Raw genomic sequence first — 17,306 nt, 5'->3', positions numbered from 1 at the left:
GTGTTACAGGAAGCCATTTTGGAGTGTGGGAGACCAGAATATGTCACCCCCAAATATGAAGGATTTTTGAGCTGACAGCAATTAACAAGAAGCCCATGCAGAAGAGCTTTCTACCCTCCATTTGCCTAAAAGCAAGACATAGAATTACAAAGACAAAAGGTTCACCCTCCCAACTCCACACACCCTAGAGAGAACAATGGTAAACCACTGAAGGAAACATAAGACCTTTATTTGCCTGGAGATGGTGCCAGAGGAATTTATATTAAGAAGCTTTACTGCCCAGGGCGCGGTGGCTCAAGCCTGTAATCCCAGCACTTTGGGAGGCCGAGGCGGGCGGATCACAAGGTCAGGAGATCGAGACCATCCTGGCTAACATGGTGAAACCCCATCTCTACTAAAAATACAAAAAATTAGCTGGGTGTGGTAGCGGGCACCTGTAGTCCCAGCTACCCAGGAGACTGAGGCAGGAGAATGACATGAACCCGGGAGGCGGAGCTTGCAGTGAGCCGAGATTGCGCCACTGTACTCCAGCCTGGGCGACAGAGCAAGACTCCATCTCAAAAAAAAAAAAAAAGAAGAAGCAGCTTTACTAACTAGCCTTTATCTGCCAGTTATTTGCCTTTCCACAGGTTGACACCCATGGAGAGGCAAAGTCCTTTCCCTGTGTCTTGTCACTTGTCTGAAAATTTACTGTTCTTTGTTGAAGATTCTACATAAGCTGGAACTCAAAGCCACTCTTTGAGAACTACTCATTCCTCTGATATCTCCCATGCATATATGAAATGTTCATATTAGTAAACTATTTTTTTTCTCTTGTTAATGTGTCTTTTGTTACAGGGGTTAATTCCAAATAAGAATTTATGAGGGTTGAAAAAATATTTTTCTTCCCCTATAGCAGCAAATTAAGTCAACTCACAATAAGAACATGAATGGGCAGAATGGGGTTAACTAAGAATGCTTCCTGACAAAATCTTCCTACACTGAAAGAATGTTCTGTCCTGGAAAGGTACCTGGAGGCATTGCTTCACAGGACAGAAAGCAAGGAGTTGACTGTAACTGGAATGTGAGAAACAGGAGAAAGGGATGCAACTTGATAGGGCCCCTGAATGAAATTTGAATTTAACGCAGAAAACTGCTACTTGACTTCAGCATTTTAGAATCTAAATATATACTCAGATTTTTTAACCTCATCCTGGATTTTACTCATCTTTAAACCATCTCAGAATCATAAACTCATTTCTATTTGCATTTGTGTTCCCTGGATAAAGCTTTGATTTATAGTACAGAATAAGGATTAGACCAAGAAATATTACAATTTAGGGTTTATATTTCAGAAAGACTTACAGTTTTCAATTTAGAAAATGCTCCTATTGAATATTCTGTATTTAATCCTGCTTTTTTATTTAAATTGGAGTTAAAGCTATTTTTCCCCATTCAGGTATAAACCCTTTTAGGGAATTTTTAATGCATTTGCAACATACATGGAGGGATAATACTATGAAAGGAAAATAAATCTTGGGACTCCCCAAATCAGTAAACTAAAGGGAAAAGTCAAGCTGGGAACTGCTTAGGGAAAACCTGCCTCCCATTCCATTCAAAGTCATCCCTCTGCTCACTGAGATAAACGCATATCTGATTGTTTCCTTTGGAAGGGCTAATCAGAAACTCAAAAGAATGCAACCCTTTGTCGCTTACTTGGAAGCCCCCTCCCTGCTTCGAGTTGTCCCATCTTTCCAGACCAAACCAATGTACATCTTACATATATTGATTGTTATCTAGTTGTTACAGGTAGTTAGACAGGCATGCACGGGCGGGGCAGGAGAGGTCTCTTCTCCCAGCCACTAGGAATGCCAGGTGATGGTTTGACAATGATCACACTGCCTCTCTAAAAGTGAATAATTGGCAGCCGGTGTCAGGGAGAGGTCATTTCCTGATGGTCTTGCACTAAAGAGTTAACTGAATGCAGGCACCAGCAAGACACAACTTCCCCGGCATGTGCATTAAGTGACAAAATAGCAGAGTATGACCTTCCAGGGGCACACCACTGGAGAAGGGAAGAAAGGCTCAGAAGGGCATGCATACAACTACCTAAACACATTGCACGTGCTCACCTTCCAAGGGTAAAGAGGGCACTGGGCATGAAGGGAGCCCACCCTAAGGGAACAATCATGGGAAAGGGGCCAGCCTATAAAGTCCTAGAATCAAGGTTAAACACTGCACTTGACCTCAGTGCTTACTTGGATCTCTTCCAAGCATACTTTTCTTTCTTTCTTTTCTGTTCTAAAGCCTTTTTAAAATAAACTTCCAATCTTGCTCTGAATCTCGGCTTGGTCTCTTTTTCTGCTTTATGCCCCTCAGGCAAATTCCTTCTTCTGAGGAGGCAAGAATTGAGGTTGTTGCAGACCCATATAGACTTGCTGCTGGTAACTCAGATACCTTCCACTGTTAATATCATGTCTCCCTAAAATGTATGAAACCGAGCTATGCCCTGACGACCTTGGGAACACATCATCAGGACCTCCTGAGGCTGTGCCATGGGCCTGTGTCCTTAACCTTGGCAAAATTAATTTTCTAAATTGACTGAGACCTGTCTCAGATATTTGGGGTTCACATTTGTTAACCATGGAGGGATTCTGAGTGGAGGTGCCCCTGAACTTTGACAAACCTTTTATTGGTGTTTGGTACCAGTTTTAGCTATCTTTATGGCTCAAACCAATAGGACAATTTGCTGAGGCCTGGAAGCCCCCACCTCCAGAAAATCCCTGATCTCCTCAAATTTAGTTGAGATCTAAAGTTTATTTTACTATACAACACCTTTTTTTTTTTGGAGTTTTACTTGCCTCCAACAGAAAGGCAAGTTTTCCTGCTTTCATGATAATGGAAGGCAGGTAACTCCTTTCTGGAGTTTGAGCTCACTTCCAATGGGGAAGGCAGGTTTAAGTTTTCTCCCGCTTCTAGTGTGGTAGAGAGCAGTCTTCAGCCTGAGACCCATCCCTAGGTAAGTAACTGAATTGGGGTTTATTTATGTCTTGGCTAAAGTTAAGATTAACAACCAGCTGATTTTAATTTCTCCTAACCATTAAAGTGCTCAGTGATCATATTGTAGGGGATTTTTTGTTGTTTCTTCTGGTCTTTCTGCAGTCAGATTTGACTAACTCTACCTGACTTGACAAAATCCAAATGAGAATTCCAAATTATGGGTAACAAGGCCTCTCTGAATTAGCTAAAATTCCTCTCAGCTGCAAAAAGAGGGAGATAAAACCATGTGCTTGGTTTCTGTGTTTCCTTCTTGTCTTAAAAAAATTGTTACTTTGTTTACTTTTCTTCCACCCTATATCTCCTTTGCTGTCTTCAGTACCAAGAAAAATATAGAGAAGGCTTCTAGTGACTCAAATCCCTTAAAGAACTCAGAACAAAGTACCACTCACCCCTTTTGGGGTGTTCTGTTTTCTTTGTGGAGTTTCAAGAGTCATGAGCAGATTCTTCTTAGGTCTAAAGCTCTGCTTTCCTGTATTGCATTACCTGACCTATTTGGCTTTGGGGGTACTAGAGATTACCTTGTACTGTGAGAGGATTTGACCTTGGTGTATGTAATGGCAGACAAGGGCTACAAAATACAGGAAGTGGTCTTGGCTGTTTTTTTTTTTTTCTTTTTTTTCTTAGGAAGTTGTTGTTTAAGAATCCTCCTTCTGGTTCAGAGATGCTTTCCAAAGGGACTTCTCCATTGCTTTTTCTCCCCAAATTAATCTCGATTTGGCTTGTCTGTGAACATTTGTGTGAAGAATTGAACTGTTGTTTTCACACGTAAATAAGAGACTGAGTTTCCTCAGCTCCAAAGAGAAAGGGCATTTTGCTCCTCCCAGCCGAAAGGTGCTTCTTGGTGAACAGGGGCCTCATGAGAGTGTCAGGGGTTTGACCTTCCCACTGAGAGGTGACAGCATGCTGGCAGTCCTCACAGCCCTGGCTCGCTCTCAGCGCCTCCTCTGTCTGGGCTCCCACTTTGGCGGCACTTGAGGAGCCCTTAAGCCCACTGCTGCACTGTGGGAGCACCTTTCTGGGCTGGCCAAGGCCAGAGCCGGCTCCCTCAGCTTGCAGGGAGGTGTGGAGGGAGAGGCGTGAGTGGTAACCAGGGCTGCGCGCGCTTGCGGGCCAGCTGGAGTTCCAGGTGGGCGTGGGCTTGGCAGGCCCACACTCGGAGCAGCCGGCTGGCCCTGCCGGCCCCGGGCAGTGAGGGGCTTAGCACCCGGGCCAGCGGCTGCAGAGGGTGTACTGGGTCCCCCAGCAGTGCCAGCCCACCGGGGCTGCGCTCGATTTGTCACTGGGCCTTAGCTGCCTTCCCGCGGGGCAGGGCTCGGGACCTGCAGCCTGCCATGCCTGAGCCTCCCACCCGCTCTGTGGGTTCCTGTGCGGCCCCAGCCTCCCCGATGAGCGCCGCCCCCTGCTCCACAGCGCCCAGTCCCATCGACCACCCAAGGGCTGAGGAGTGTGGGTGCACGGCGCGGGACTGGCAGGCAGCTCCACCTGCAGCCCCTGTGCGGGATCCACTGGGTGAAGCCAGCTGGGCTCCTGAGTCTGGTGGGGATGTGGAGAACCTTTATGACTAGCTCAGGGATTGTAATTATACCAATGGGCACTCTGTATCTAGCTCAAGATTTGTAACCACACCAATCAGCACCCTGTGTCTAGCTCAGGGTTTGTGAATGCACCAATGGACACTCTGTATCTAGCTACTCTGGTGGGGCCTTGGAGAACCTTTATGTCTAGCTCAGGGATTGTAAACACAACAATCGGCACTCTGTATCTAGCTCAAGGTTTGTAAACACACCAATCAGCACCCTGTGTCTAGCTCTGCGTTTGTGAATGCACCAATCGACACTCTGTATCTAGCTACTCTGGTGGGGCCTTGGAGAACCTGTGTGTTGAAACTCTGTATCTAGCTAATCTGGTGGGGAGGTGGAGAACCTTTGTGTCTAGCTCAGGGATTGTAAAGGCACCAATCAGCCCCTGTCAAAACAGACCACTGGGCTCTACCAATCAGCAGGATGTGGGTGGGGCCAGATAAGAGAATAAAAGCAGGCTGCGGGAGCCAGCAGTGGCAACCCGCTCCGGTCCCCTTCCACACTGTGGAAGCTTTGTTTTTTAGCTCTTTGCAATAAATCTTGCTACTGCTCACTCTTTGGGTCCGCACTGCTTTTATGAGCTGTAACACTCACTGCAAAAGTCTGCAGCTTCATTCCTGAAGCCAGCGAGCCCACGAGCCCACTGGGAGGAACGAACAACTCCAGATGCTCCGCCTTAAGAGCTGTAACACTCACCACGAAGGTCTGCAGCTTCACTCCTGAGCCAGCGAGACCACGAACTAACCAGAAGGAAGAAACTCCAAACACATCCGAACATCAGAAGGAACAAACTCCAGATGTGCCATCTTAAGAGCTGTAACAGTCACTGCCAGGGTCCGCGGCTTCATTCGTGAAGTCAGTGAGACCAAGAACCCACCAATTCCGGACACACCATGACACGCAGTGGCCCTACAGGAAATTCCCAATACATTTAGTTTAAAAAAGGCTTGTCCAGGAAGCACATATAGGAGCTGTTCACTCAGCGCTTTGAGCCCTCCTGGAGGTGCTTAGACCTCTGGAGAGAGAAACTGGGACATGCAAGAGGGTGGTAATAACTCACTGGTGACACTGTGAAGTCCTGCTTGCAACCAGCACACACTTGGACCCACTCCACGAAAACCCTAGACCACAGTTCAGTTTATTCTTTTAAGAAAGAAACAAAAGTGGGAAACAATCTAAGAATGAGGAGAAAACAAGGAGAATGTCCCCCTTTGGGGCACTCTGCTAGTTTTATGGTGCCTCTACTTCCTAGAGTTTGTGTAAAATGGAAATATTATGGTCTTTGTGTACATTTACATCAAGCAAAAAGAGCCCTAAGGTCAACCTGCAAACTATAGAGTTCCTAAGTTACCTTTTTCCTTTATTTTATTTTCTGCCTGCTTTAAAGCTAATGTTACTTTTCCACTGAGATAAAAACACTGTTTGGATCCAAATGTTTTTTGTTTTTGTTTTTGTTTTGTTTTCCAAATTTGTATTATCTTATGGCTAGGGTTCTGAAGCATAAGTTATGGGACCTTTGTGTGTGAGGGTGTGTACGTGTGGGTATATATATATTTAAAAGGCCTTTATGATAGATTTCTATACTTTTATGTTTAAATTTCAATTAAATCAGTTTTAATTACCCTCTAGTACACTAGACTTTTTCTCTCTCTACTTTGTGATGTAAATTTTACTATCTGATTTTTCACCTACGAGTTATTTCCTTCAATATGCAAATTTAAAGTGATGTAGGGTAACAATTGCCAAGGGTAATGAAACAGGTTATCAAGAATTTAAAATTTGAAAATAAAAAAAGAGGTCTTATAAATCTATAAGATGTACTTCTATAGGCATGTCTAATACATCTATGTATCTATGTGTTCTGTACACAATGTTTCACTGCTAAATATATACAAAAGAGCTCTAATTAATTGGCTTAAGAAAAATACAAGAGCTTAAATCAAAGAAAGACCAGTCATATGCTTTTTCAAGTTTATGTGACTTAAGTAAAATCTTTAATAAATAAGCTAGCTTTAAAATTATTGGTAAAGTAGTATTAGAAATGTCTTAAGAATTGCCAGCATACATTTTTGTTTGAATTTATTGATCAAGTGATTTCACACTTATCCCTGCCAAATACTATTAGGTGTCAAAATTTTGCGTAAGTGTTACAAAACTATAAACCCAGCCCAAAACAGAATGATCTTTGCTTGTGTAATTTTTGACAAATAAGACATGAATAAAGGTTTAATGAAAATAGCTAAACCTTAAACTATTTAGTAAAATAACCATAACTTCTAATTTTGTGGCTTTAAAATGTCTAGTCTCCCAGCCAAAATGGGATTTGTTTCAGGGAAAGACTGTTGTCATCTTAGTTTCAAAGCTAAACTTTAAACTAACTTCCTCACAAAGTTAGTTAGACCTATGCCCAGGAATGAACAAGGTCAGCTTGGAGGTTAGAAGCAAGATGGCGTCAATTGGTCATATCTTTTTCACTTTCTCAGTTACAATTTTGCAATGGTGGTTTCATAACTTTAAATGATAACTATCACAGTTTTCATAAAGAATATAGATAAACTATAAAATAAAATAATTAGGTAAATGTGATGGGATAAATACTTGTAGACAAACTTGTCATAATTTAGAATCTAAAGTTATAGTAAATTAAATAACATATATTTCATTATTTGGGTATTTCCAAATAATAAATATCACAGGAAAACATTATTTCTAAAAAATGTGTGTCCTTTTAAAACAGGTGAATTTTTTTGTCTAATTCACAGCTTATTTAAAGATTATGTAAAAAACAAGGTAAGAGGAAACAGAAAATAAGAGAGATGTAAAGAAAGTTATAGAAATAAAGAGTTATTGTTTGGTAAGAAAGCTTAAAGAGAAATAATTTTATATGAGAAAGAATCTTGTTTGGTAAATTTTTTCCTAGAATACAATGACTGGTTGTTTAAGAAAGCAATGTTTAGGACAAACCAGGAAGTCCAAGCATGTCATGAACGGTCTGTGTAAGTCATAATAAGAGAATTTATTTTGAAAATCCAAAACTTTTATATTGTCAAGTAGTCTACAATTAAAGGGATGTTATAATGGTCTTTCTAGAGATTGGGTTTTAATTTAAAAAACACTTATACACTAAAAAATTGGTTTGAACTATAAAATTTTCTTAAGGCATTGCTTTACTCTTAATAAATTACAAGACATTATAATTTTTTTAATCAAAGTTTAACTTTTATCGCATCTTGCTGTTTTCAGCTTTCTCTCCCTTTTTCAAAGGCCTGAAAAAATAACTGTATCCTTCAGATCATTTTCAGCTCCTGTAAAAATTTTTTTCTTTTCTTTTTTTTCTTCCTTTGGGTTCTAACTGATTAAAAAACAAAAAGAAAAACATTTATCTTAGAGGTCCAAAGGACATATTTCTTTCCAACATAATATTCCCCATAGGGAAGAGCGGTTGCACTGCAGTAGGTCTTTTGTTTTCCTTTGAGTAATTGACCTAATAAACAAATCTTATTATTTATTGAAAAAATTCCTGTGTTATTATTAGTAAGTTTGGTTTGCTTAAAAAAACTGTAGATTAAAAAAATAATAAATTAAGGTTATTATCTCTGGATAACTTCCTATATGTGCTTTTAAAGTTTTTGTGTCATTAAGTTACAGGGCTTTGACCCCTGGGTCTCAAAAGGACACTAAATCCTGCTAAATCTTAAACACTGACCACAGTTACAGCCTCATTTTCAGACCTGGTAGAAGATACCAATCACAATAAACTGTGTTTATGAGACACAGGGCCAGAAATTAAAACTCCTCAAGACCTAGGACTATCATGGAAGAAGTGGGCATGTGAGAGTGTGAGAGCCAATTTTGAGAGATAAAATAAGCTCTGTTTCTCTATAAATTAACCATTAATGTCAAAGGCACACTGATGAAAGTCCAGTATATAGGCCCCTGTGTCAGATTAACAAGGTTTTCTTGGAGCATTAACCCATTCCTTAATAAAGGTTATAAAGGTTATAAAAAGGCTTATGAAAAGTATATCTTAGGTCAAAATGACTAAAATTGTATAGATTGCTTATAAAATTTTGAAAACAAATTTAATTGGTCTCATGCTGTTTTTATTAAGGCTTATTGTTTTGGAAATTAAGTCTCCTCTCTCAAAGAATAAAGGTTTTTTTATTTAAAAAAAAATTTGAATGATCATTTTGGTTAAATGAATACTTTATTTCACAATGATCTGTGATCCTATTTTATGATATCAAGCCTTTTAAACTTTTCATATTTGACAAACTTTCCAAAGTCAAATTCTAAATTGGGTTCTCATTAATTTTTTTTTTTTAATTTTTTTTTTTTTTTATTATACTTTAAGTTTTAGGGTACATGTGCACATTGTGCAGGTTAGTTACATATGTATACATGTGCCATGCTGGTGCGCTGCACCCACTAACGTGTCATCTAGCATTAGGTATATCTCCCAGCGCTATCCCTCCCCCCTCCCCCGACCCCACCACAGTCCCCAGAGTGTGATATTCCCCTTCCTGTGTCCATGTGATCTCATTGTTCAATTCCCACCTATGCGTGAGAATATGCGGTGTTTGGTTTTTTGTTCTTGCGATAGTTTACTGAGAATGATGGTTTCCAATTTCATCCATGTCCCTACAAAGGACATGAACTCATCATTTTTTATGGCTGCATAGTATTCCATGGTGTCTATGTGCCACATTTTCTTAATCCAGTCTATCATTGTTGGACATTTGGGTTGGTTCCAAGTCTTTGCTATTGTGAATAATGCCGCAATAAACATACGTGTGCATGTGTCTTTATAGCAGCATGATTTATAGTCCTTTGGGTATATACCCAGTAATGGGATGGCTGGGTCAAATGGTATTTCTAGTTCTAGATCCCTGAGGAATCGCCACACTGACTTCCACAATGGTTGAACTAGTTGACAGTCCCACCAACAGTGTAAAAGTGTTCCTATTTCTCCACATCCTCTCCAGCACCTGTTGTTTCCTGACTTTTTAATGATTGCCATTCTAACTGGTGTGAGATGATATCTCATAGTGGTTTTGATTTGCATTTCTCTGATGGCCAGTGATGATGAGCATTTTTTCATGTGTTTTGATATTAGTCCCCTGAAGTCCAAAAGAGACATATTCAGCTTATTTTGTGTAAAAATCATACTGGAAGTATTGTCAAATATGAAATGGTGTTTGGCTTTCTTTAGGCTGTATTTACATAAATGTTATTGGTATGTGTTCCAAAATTATGGGAAACTCCTATAATTCTGATATGAGTTAGTATATGTTATTAATAATTATAATTGTTATGTTAAATTATTGTGTGCAACAGAAGTAACAAATTTCCTTGTCAATTGTATCTTTGACTATGGCTGCCCTAAAACTTTTTGCCATCCATGGACAATTGTCTTAATTTGGTCCTCTTTACAAGGTGGTTTTATAATCAGCTATGAAACTCTAGGAGGTGTTCTTGAATGTAGGGTTGTGATAACTTTGGAGATTGTGATATTAGAATAGAGGAAAAGCTTTCAGTACTCATGGAGAGCCGGAATGTTTATGAATATCAAACAGAACAGGAGTTAACTGCATGGACTGAACTAATAAAGGACTGAAGTAATCTTTTTGACTTTTTTGCTTAAAACATTGCTGATCCTTTGTTTAGTTTTTCAGAGTCAAGGACACTTTTTTTTGAGCTATTGGCAGCTTTTAACAATTGAGTAAAGTGTACTTTTGTGAACAAAATTTGGAGCATATTTGTTTCTCTCTACATGATTTCTCCAGAATTTGGAAACTGTTTGTGAGTATTCTTAACTTATGGCAATATAGTTATTTGCATAAGTTCAATAAGAATGATTTCTTTTTGCAACAGGACAGCATTGGAGAAACTGGTTATTTTACCAAGGCTTTGACTGGAATGGTGTGCTTTCCTTTAAGGAATCAAAATTGACTTACAGAGCCAATAAAAGCCCCTTGGGAAAACTGGCCTTCTGTGTTGTCTACACAGTCCCTGTCCAGGATTACTGGCCTCTGGTAAGTAAAGAATGTCATTTTCTGACAAGCCCAAGAACCCCAAGTTATCTTGAGACCTCAAGAGAAGAGGAATTTGCCTAACTCATAGGTATGCGGTGGTACAAAGCCATGGCTGTGCTCAGCTTTACAAAAGTCTTATCTGAGAGTCCTTCTGTGGAACAAAGTTCCATCAAAGCCATCTTAAAAAATAATTATTCTTGCTGCACTTTAGACAAATAATCAGGGCAAGTATAATAAAGGAAATTGGTCTTACCCAGGTTTGTCTTTAGTAAAAACAGGAAACTGGAGAGAGAAAAATTATGTTTCAAAAACTATAGTACAACTGTTGTCAGAGTCTAGTCTTGTCTAATGTATTCAATTTGTATTATTTTCTACAGTTGGAATGAATTCTAAAATTTTTCCTGGCTACAAGTCTCCAAAATAACGTTCTTATTTTTTTTCCTTCTTTCTTTTCCTTTTCCGCACCCCTCATTTTTCCTAATTTGAAATCACTGAAAATTAAGCTGTGCTTTCTTAAAGCTCTATGAACTGAAGCTAGACAACTTAAACCATAGAAGAAAATAACAGCAACCTATTTACATACATAAGACACTTTCATCTCTGTCTACTGATGTATGGACTTCAGGGTAACATGGCCTATAATGATTTTCCAGGATTGTTCTTTTTTTGTTTGTTGTTGTTTTTCTTTCTTCCTCCCCCTATTTTATCTTTGTAGGATGTGAGACTTCACAACCTGCTAAAAATGAGCTTTTCTAAATATGTGGGACCTACCTGTCTAGGAATAAACTATCCTAGCCATGAGAGATCAGATGAAGCCTGAGAACAGAGACTTATTTTCTTCTAAAATGCTTTCTTTGAATGATTTTAAAAGGAAAAACAGGGAAATACGAAAGGAAAATAAATTTTGGGACCCCCAAATCATTAAGCTAAAGGGAAATGTCCAGCTGGGAACTGCTTAGGGCAAACCTGCCTCCCATTCTATTCAAAGGCATCCTTCTGCTCACTGAGATAAATGCATATCTGATTGTTTCCTTTGGAAAGAAAATCAAAAGAATGCAACTCTTTGTCTTACTAGGAAGCCCCCTCCCTGTTTCGCATTGTCTCACTTTTCTGGAGTGAACCAATGTACATCTTACATGTATTGATTGACGTTTCATGTCTCCCTAAATGTATAAAACCAAGGTGTGCCCGACCACCTTGGGCACATGTTGTCAGGACCTCCTGAGGCTGTATCATGGGTGTGCAACTTTAACCTCAGCAAAATAAACTTTCTAAATTGACTGGGACCTGTCTCAGGTATTTGAGGTTCATAATACAGATCAGAATTTTTAAACTTTTAAAATAACCTTACTAAATATTGATTTACAAATTTCTACTTTGAAGGAGACTTAAAAATGTTCAATTCTCTCTTTATAGCAATGAATCATATTTAATTAAGATAAAGGTCAGCTAAAAGTACCTTTATCTTTTTCTGAAATATTTTTCCAGCTTTTGCTGTCCGTTTTCTATATACTTGAAATTCTAAACTCAAAAGAATTTCCCAAAATTATTTTATCTTCGTTTTATTTACTTTTGTTTTAGTAATAATTTCCCATTTATATAGGTTTATAAAACCAGCTTCTATAATATACATAGAAGGCAGGATTATAATATTTTAATGTTAACTCTAATTGGAAGGACTATAATTGCATATCTAAGCAAAAATTAATTGATAATCACCAGCACCTGGACAATTTTAAATTTACACATGTACAGTACACTTTTCCATTTCTGCTGTTTTTACCAAAAATCTAGTTTCAAGCCATTTTTTTCAATGGGAAGTGTGTACTACTGACACTTTGTCACTAGAGTATTTTGAATTGAGATGATGAAATGTACAAGTGGTGTTACATCTTTTAGAATGCTGCAACTGAACATAAAACCATTCTCATCTCTGTAATAGGTTTCTGATAGTACTCTGTTAGCAGTCAGTGATATAAAGGCTGCAAACGTTGATGAAAACTGCAGGTACCTTAAGTCACATGTATCTCAAATAAGAGTGACAAGAATCAAAATATCTTGACTATTTACTGCCTTGTTGCTGTTCATTGGAATGCACACTGAAGTTTATGGCAGCAAATGATACTGTTGCCGGTCCTTCAGAGCTTTTTTGTTTTGTTTTGTTTTGTTTTCAGAGCTATATGAGAACACCATTTAACAGCCTCTACTAGCTCCGCAACAAAGGAAGATCAGAAAGTTATCACTCAATCTCAAGTTCTACTTACATGAAAACTCTCATAGAAAGACAACGCTTTTAAGCATGTACTAAAAGCCTGATCCTGTTGCCTTCCTGTATACTTGAAACTGGACGTACTTCTCCTGCTCTTAATTTCAGTCATGCCTACATTAAGTACAAAAAAGCATCTTGTCTTATCACAGATTTAAAGAAGACCCATTTGAAGACAATCTCCAAGAGGGATGATGAAAAGATTTCTCATAAACTCTTTTTAAATGTCTTGGTTTCTTTCTTTCCCAGGCTGAACCATAGGTAGGGGATGGCTGCTGACATATTTAAAATGTGCTAAGGACCCTAATTCTTGTCTACTTCCTCCTAAATCTCCTAGGAGGACACAGAGAAATAAAAACATCTAGCCAAGTGCAGAAAGTTACTTTTTTTTTTCAAAAAACTTGTCAATTAAGGTAGCCTTTAGGTGGTATTAACCACGTCATATTTCTCCCTTTGGCCAAGTTTTGAGCTTTGCAATTGGCACTGTGAGCTTTATTCAGTTTATTATTGTCACTTCCATTTAATCCCTTCACGAATCTTTCACCAAAAATGAACTCATTTTAAGATGAAGTGGCGAATTAATGCAGTTACATAATCCAGCAAAGACATCTAATTTGAGAATAGGTCCATTAGAATTTGGTAAGCCCTCTGGCCCTGGGAATCAAGATATTAATCTGCTCTTGTATATTTTTTATTCCTAGTTATTAGGGAGTTATTTTTTGTCCTCAGATGCCTTTCACTGAGAAAATTCTATTTTTAACTTGCTTTTTATCAGAGGTCAACATGTGGTACTCTGCAACTTTCACAAAGGAAGATGAAAAGCAAAACAAAAGTTTAGTTCTGAAATTTCAATCATGGGTCTCTACATACCCTGGAGTGGGTGCTCCCCCTGAGACCAACCGGAAGGTGGTTGAAACAGTGTTGAAAAGTAGCCATGAGCTTGATGTTAATTGGAGCTGTTCCAGAGGGGTACCAGGTCATGGACTTAGTGCTAAGATAAGCATGAGTTTACTGTAGGAGTGAAGTTATTGTCTACGCTGTTTCAAAATAAATGTTAAGTTGGAAAGAGTGCAATACCAATACATCAAGTTGGTATTTGCAAAAATCATTTAAAAATTTTACTGCATCAACTTTTCCTGTAGTGGTTTCTGAGTGTGATCTCTACTTGGTGTTCTAATAGGAATAATCCTATGATGGCATATGCTACAGATTGGTGCTTAAACATTTGCCTTCTTAATGCAGGACTCTGATTAAAGAAGGCAAAAAGGAACCTCTTCTGTAGCCAGAATGAAAACAGGCATGTGTATAAGGGTTAGGGGGAGCAAAATCTACCAGGTAGGGTGGGGACAAAACAATTACTCTCAGTTACTGCATCTTAGTGTCATAAAGAAGGGACCTTGTATAAGGGGAAAGAATAATCACTCCCAAAAGACCCTGTCATTACATAGGTGCAAAGTCCCCACTATAATTGGGAGAGTTTAGAGTATGATCGTTTACTGCTGTGGTAGTTAATTATCACTTAGAGAATGATAGTTAATTCAATCTTATCTTTCCTTTCTTATCCTTATTGATATGGGCAAAACTTTCTTCAAAGGAGAGAGGACTGAAAATGAGCAGCAAACAGCAACTGTTAAAAACAGCAAGAGAATACAGGTACAATATAAACATGGAAGCAGGGCTACAAATAACAGTTGCCTTTTCAATGTAAATAATGGAGGGCAGAGGCCTCCAATACGGGAAGCTATATTTGAAGTATGGGGGGAAATGAACCTAGAATCTATCTCCAGTAAAAACATGCTTAATAACTGAAGGTAAAGGGAAGATATTTTCAGAATTTCAAATTCTCAGATAATTTGTCTTCAGCAGACCAGCACCTTAATAAATGCTAAATTATAATTCCCAAGTTAAAGAAAATAATTTTACATGGAATTCTAGTTCTGGGATAAGAAGCAGCAGCAATATAAACCGTATATATGTCAGTAAATATAAAATACCTTTTAAAAATATGACATATATTTTAATTGTTAATTATTTAAACAAGAACAAAAACAATGTCCTGTGAATTTCATAGCACTGTAGAAAAATATAAAGCAGCAAAATCACAAAGGAGAGGAGGAGAGATAAATGGAATTGTACTATTTTAAGTTTGCTGTATTGTTCTTAAAGTAATTTTTAAAAATAAATTATCATAATATTAAAATATGCATTGAAACTTATGGAATGACCAATAAAAGAACACAAAGAGCGACACCTAAAACATTCTCAGAGCAACTAAAATGAAATACTAAAAAATTATTGATTTGTCCAAAAGTAGATAGGAAAAAAGGAACAGAAAAATCAAAAGAAATTATATAAATAAAAAACAAATAGCAATAAATGACATAATTTAAATTAAGGGACTTTAATAATGTGATTAAATATAAATTGGCTGAGCAAGCTAATAAAAATGCACAGATTATCAGACTTGATAGAAAAGAAACAGATCACTGTATTACAAAAATGCTCTTTAAATATAAATATACTATAAGTTGCAAGTAAGTGGGTGTAAAGATTATGCTATGAAATCCTAAGCATAATAAAGATTCTATGGCTATATTAATTAAAAAGTAAAATTAAAGATAAAAATTGTTACTAAATATAGAGAAGAACAAGTAGAAGTGATATAAAAAGGATCAATTCATCAAGAACATATAACAATATTAAATCATTATTAAACTAAAAACAGAGTTTCAAAATACATGAAACAAAAAAAAAATGAGGAACAAAGAAAGACATAGACAAGTTTACAATCATGGTTGGAAATTTAACCACCTACCTCTCAGTAATTTATTACAAATAGAGAACAAAATCATCAAGTATAAGAGCCATGAAATCATATAAGACTATAACAACATTATCAACAGTATCAGTCCATTTTTACACTGCTGATAAAGACATACCCAAGACTGGGTAATTTATAAAGGAAAAGAGGTTTAATGGACTCACAGTTCCACATGGCTGGGGAGGGCTCATAATCATGGTGGAAGGTGAAAGGCACATCTTACGTGGTGGCAGGCAAAGAGATAATGAGAGCTAAGTGAAAGGGGAAACCCCTTATAAGAACATCCTATCTCGTGAGACTTATTCACTACCATGAGAACATTATGAGGGAAACGACCCCCATGATTCACAACACATGGGATTTATGGGAACTATAAATCAAGATGAGATTGGGGTGGGGATAGAGTGAAACCATAAATTTACCTACTTTACATTATAGGACAGTATACCACAGAAAAGCAGAATACATATTCTTCTTGTGGAGACATGCAACATTCGTCAAGATGGAGCATATTCTGAGACCCAAAACAAATTTTAATAAATTTCAAAGCATCAACATTATGTAGAATATAATCTATGACCAACATGATATTGAATTAATAAGTTAGAAGGTTTGATATCATATACAGTGTACTGTATGACAACAACAGAGTTAAAGTAAAAATTATAATAAGATATCTAGAAAATCCAGCATATTTGGAAATTACAAGTATACTTCTAAACAAACCTGGGTCAAAAAAAATATACAAAAGAAATTAGTCTGAAGTGAATGGAAATAAAGTATATCAAATTTTGGGATACAGCTAAAGCTGGGTTTAGAGAGAAATTTAAATCACTTTAAATGAGTATATTTGAAAAAAATATAATATTTATGACTTGTAATTCTACCGTAGGAGACCTAGCATGAGAGTATAGAAACCTCTGGAGCCTTACAAACAAGGGAAGTTCACATCTACTTACAGGTTTTCCTCTCACATTCCTCGTGAGAAAAATTGGAGGCAGTAGAGAGGATGAAAAGGCCTCCTTTGCAGTGCAGGACAGGGAGCAGGAGATAGCTGGTGTGATGCTCCATATGAATTATCTTCCCCTCTTCCCCCTAGGGAACAAAAGCCTTAATTCACTAGAGGAATGACAACAAGCACTGTCACCCTCAGGCACAGATGAAGACAAATTGCAGCTGGGTAAAGGGAACAGAGAAATCCCTCTATACCTAGGGAAAGGGCAGAAACACATTCATGGCCAAGAAAAATAGAGTCTACTGCTGTGGAAGGAACAGGATCAATAATGCCCTACTGTAAGATCAAGGGAGACACCGAGCCTGCCTAAAACTCAGACTGAACCAGAACACCAGAGAATACTCTCCACCCTCTATCACCAGCCTAGCCAGCTTCATGTAACAAGTAACAGCAACCTCCCGCTGGGAGAGGGTCAAAAGAGAAGGCTGCAGCCTACTTTGAGACACGGGCAAAAGAGAAGACCTCCAGCTGAAGGTGGACCAGACATTAAGAAAATAATCTTCTGGAAAATGAGTTTTCAGCCTAAATACACAGTAACACTAGAGGAATT

The 17,306-nt window shown here is 38.0% G+C and overlaps 1 long non-coding RNA gene across 1 annotated transcript in view; it reads right to left on the bottom strand.

Annotated features, from left to right (window-relative positions):
* The window catches only part of LOC101928832 (uncharacterized), a 100,762-nt gene extending 83,943 nt beyond the window's left edge, over nucleotides 1-16,819 (bottom strand). Inside the window, exon 1 of the long non-coding RNA XR_001755969.2 lies at nucleotides 16,701-16,819. This is a non-coding gene — a long non-coding RNA (uncharacterized LOC101928832). The remainder of the gene's footprint in view (nucleotides 1-16,700) is intronic.
* Between the last annotated feature and the right edge of the window lie 487 nt (nucleotides 16,820-17,306).

Source organism: Homo sapiens, chromosome X (genome assembly GCF_000001405.40).
Source record: "Homo sapiens chromosome X, GRCh38.p14 Primary Assembly".
Lineage (NCBI taxonomy): Eukaryota > Metazoa > Chordata > Mammalia > Primates > Hominidae > Homo > Homo sapiens.
This window is presented reverse-complemented; position numbering and strand designations above follow the sequence as displayed.